Genomic DNA, 3,835 nt, shown 5'->3' on the forward strand with positions numbered 1-3,835 from the left:
GCCAGAAAGTAAGGAAGGGCTCAAAAACATAACAAAAAATTATGGCAAAGGGAAACAGGAGCCAATAGAGAGAGCTCCCAGGCGCCAAAACTGGAACAATTTAAGCAACAATATAAATAACATAGTATTGGATTATAATGAAAAGTACAAAATAAATATCCATGAGTGCACACGGATAGAATAAATGACTGAATAAACCAGTAGCAGAAGAATTCCAAATAACTTATTACATACTGCCCCCTCAAGGAAGTGAAGCATAACTCCCCATCCCTTAAGTGGAGGCTGTGCATAGCGGCTATTCTGTGAGGCTATTCTCATTATTAGACTGGGGTTATTATTAGACTGGTTTGGGGGAGGAAAACCACAGAGGTACAGTGTCATTCTCAAAAAGTTATATCAAGAGAATATGCTATCAATATCAATATCACTTAATGTCAACCCTGATGGCCTAGTTAATTATTTGATCAGTCTTCTGTTGAAATTATTGTTGTTGTTAATTATTATTGTTGTTAATTATTTGATCAGTCTTCTGTTGATGAGCCTTGAGGCTTGAGGTAACGTCTGTCAGGTAATGGCAAAGGTAATGTTTATATCCAAAGGTAATGTTATCACCATAATGCTAACTATAACATTATAAATATATTTTTAAATGGCCACAATACCTCAGGGCCCTTGCATCATACTCTGCCGTGTGACTTTGCTGCTCCTCCCTGGGAGAAGTGATTTCTATTTCCCCACCTCTTGAATCTGGGCTGGCTTGTGACATGTTTGCACCAACAGAATGTAATGGATGTAAATTCACACCAGTTATACAGTCTCAGGAGGCACTGCATGTTATCAGATGTTGACGGACACATAGCCTGAACACCCCTCTAACCCTAGCTGATAGCCAGTCAACTACCAGACATGTGATTTAGACCATCCTAAATAAACCAGCCCCAGCTGACCCACCCTTTCTGATCCCAGACACAAGGAGCAAATGCAAAGTTAGCTGAGCTTGGCCCAGATCAGCAGTGCTACCCAGCTGACCCACATGAGCAATACCAAAAGCTTTCTATTTAAAGCCACTGAATTTCGGAGTGGTTTGTTATACCGCAATAGCTATGTGCCTCACTGGCACCTAGGCATAACAATGCATGTAGGTGCTTATTTGTTGTAACACACTGTGATTACAGAAGATTAGAAGCAGCCTCAAGGCTCATCAATAGAACACTGATCAAATAATTACAGGAGAGCCAAACAATGGAATATTATGCAGCTGTTCAAAAGAACGAGGCAGCCCTATGTGAATCAACATGGAACAAACTCCATGATGCATTTTTAAGCGAAGCAGCAAGAGGCAGAAGAGTATACAGAGCAAGCTACTATTGATCCTGTAAAATACTTGCATTTGCATGGACTGTCTCCGGGTGGGTACACAGAAACATGTAACAATGGCTGTCTCTAGGAAGGGGAACTGGGTGCCTGGGGAACAAGAGTGGAAGCGAGACTTCCTTTTCACGCTATCCTCTTTTTTATCTTTTGAATCGTGTAAATGTGTTATCCATTCAAAAATAAATAAAACCAGAATGTAAAAACTCCTATGCCTTTCAAATGCAGAGAGCCTTATTATTCTCTTTCCAAGACTCCCAAGATCCACCGGGACCAAAAAACAGCAGTCAGGGAACAATTCCGATTTTCCCTCCTCTCTCCCCCACAGCCCCCACCCGCGCAGAGCGAAGCTGGCTTCTCCGGTAAACCCCTGCTTGTGAGTTGCGCCCAGGCGACACTACCTCGCCTGCCACCGGAGGGCAGCGCGAGGCTTCCTTCCCGGGGAGGAACTGCGGCGAGACGGTGGTCGGCCCTGAATAGCAAGCTGGCTCCTAGATCAAAGGCTCTGGCATTCCGTTTTTGCGTGCATGTTTGTTTGTTTTCTTTCTTTCTTCTTCCTCTTCTTTATTTTTTTAAAGGTCTCGACCCAAGAACCCCATTCCAGGCAGTAGGTTCGCCAGCCATTGCTTGTGCGTCTTCGCGGAGAGAGAGGGGGGAGATGCCCCGGCGCTCCTTACCCGGCTGGATAAGACCCTTTGGGGAACTTGCTGCTTCGCAAGTCTTACTTGTGAGGACCCGGAGGGTTTGCCTTTGACCCCGCCTGTGACCTTAAGAAAACCCCTTTCTACCCTGCGCCTGTCCCACAGCTGGAAGTGATAATTTTAAGAATGAATTAAGCACTCGGTGTGTGACACTGCGGCACTAAGCACTTTCTGGACTGTGTTAGGCCCCATTTTACAGACGGGGAAGCTGAGGCCTCCAGAGGCGGAGTAACCTGCTCATGGTTACAAAGCTGGTCAGCGGCGGGCAGGATTTGAATCCAGGGTTCCCGGTTCCTAATCCTCTGCTTTTACCACTTAATTTATCCTGCCTCCAAGGGCTGCTGGGAAAAAGGCGGATTTCAAAGGAGAAGCAGCTAAGGAAAAGCTCTGGAAAGGGCCAACGGAGCGGATATTCCCGGAGCCCCTCTGCGAGCCACGCGCCCCTCTGGGAAGCCCGCTTCCCCCTGCAGACAGGCGCTGTGACACGCTTGCGCCCCGGTCGAACAGGCGAAGAGGCCGAGGCCCAGAGCGGCGCAGGGCGAGCCTGGAGGCTGCGCCCCAGACCTGGACCAGCCACGGACGCCGCTCCCGCCGCTCCCTCCGCTCCGCTGCGCTCCGCACGCTGGCGCCGGCTCCCCGAGGCCCCGGGCGCCCCGGCCGCACGCCTGGGTAAAAGGTCCCGAGGAGTCCGCAGAAGCGCGCCCACGCCCGAGACGGCCGTTTCCGCCGGCCTGGGAAAGGGGCGGAGAAGGGGGTCGCCCGGGCCGCAGCGTGCCGGTCCCCGCCGGCCGAGCCGTGTTTGGGGCCAGTCCCCGCACCCCGCTTCTTCCCCACCTGGGGAGCGGGGCGCCGCGGTAGGGGCACTGGAGCGCACGATGCACCCCGCCAACGAGTCCTTTCTGCAGACGGGGTTCCTGTTTTCATGCAAATGCCTTTGTTAGCGCACCGGGAACCAGGGGGACGGAACTGCAGCTGACGCGGGCTGCGCGCCGCTTTTCCGCCTTCGCTTGATTCGGCCTCAACGACTTAAACGCGCCGGGAACAAAAACGCCGGCGCCGCGGAAACCCTCAGGAGCGGCACGAGAAGCGCGGCTCCGCTGGGGTCCGCGAGAAGCGGTGCGGGCGGCCGGGCTGGTGCCTGCAGGCCCTCTCACCGCATCACCAAGGGCAAGGAACCTCCAACTGTCCCTCAGTTTCTCTACCTGCACTGGGATGTCCTACATAAGGAGTCAGCTCAGTGCCCGCATCTTGCTGTAATTATTTTGTCCAAGCACTGTGGGAGGCAGCGTTGAGGAGGCTGTTGTGGGGAGTTTGCCTGTCAGAGAGAAGAGGGAAATAAACAAGAAACATACAGACAAAATAATTTCAAATAGCAACAAGTGTTAATATCGTAGCAAACACCAATGCAGCGCTTATGCCAGGCTCTGCTCTATGCTATATGCACATTAGGTCATGTAATCCTCACTCCCTTGTACAGATAGGAAAATGCTGGTTGAATAATCTATTGAAGGGAAATAGGAAGTTGAACAATATGTGGAGAAACAGGTTGCACGATAGGTGGAGAAACAACAGGTTGCACGATATGTGGGGAACCAGGTTGAACAATAGCCTCAAGTGCGCAGTAGGTAGGCTCGGCACTTGAGAATATTGGGCCCAGCCTGGGTTTCGACCCAGCCAGTCCAGCCCCAAGTGGAAGCTTTTGCACACTCCATTACACCAGTTTTGGCTGTACTAGGAAGGATGTAAAGTGGTGACACGCCCAA

The 3,835-nt window shown here is 51.0% G+C and overlaps 1 annotated feature.

Annotated features, from left to right (window-relative positions):
• Window positions 2,667-2,916: a silencer, noted in NCBI's record as "silent region_12594". NCBI's record gives its function as "represses an Ori minimal core promoter by ATAC-STARR-seq in GM12878 lymphoblastoid cells {active_cell/tissue: GM12878}" and the evidence as "EXISTENCE:reporter gene assay evidence [ECO:0000049][PMID:35858748]".

This window comes from Homo sapiens, chromosome 20, assembly GCF_000001405.40.
Source record: "Homo sapiens chromosome 20, GRCh38.p14 Primary Assembly".
NCBI classification, from domain to species: domain Eukaryota; kingdom Metazoa; phylum Chordata; class Mammalia; order Primates; family Hominidae; genus Homo; species Homo sapiens.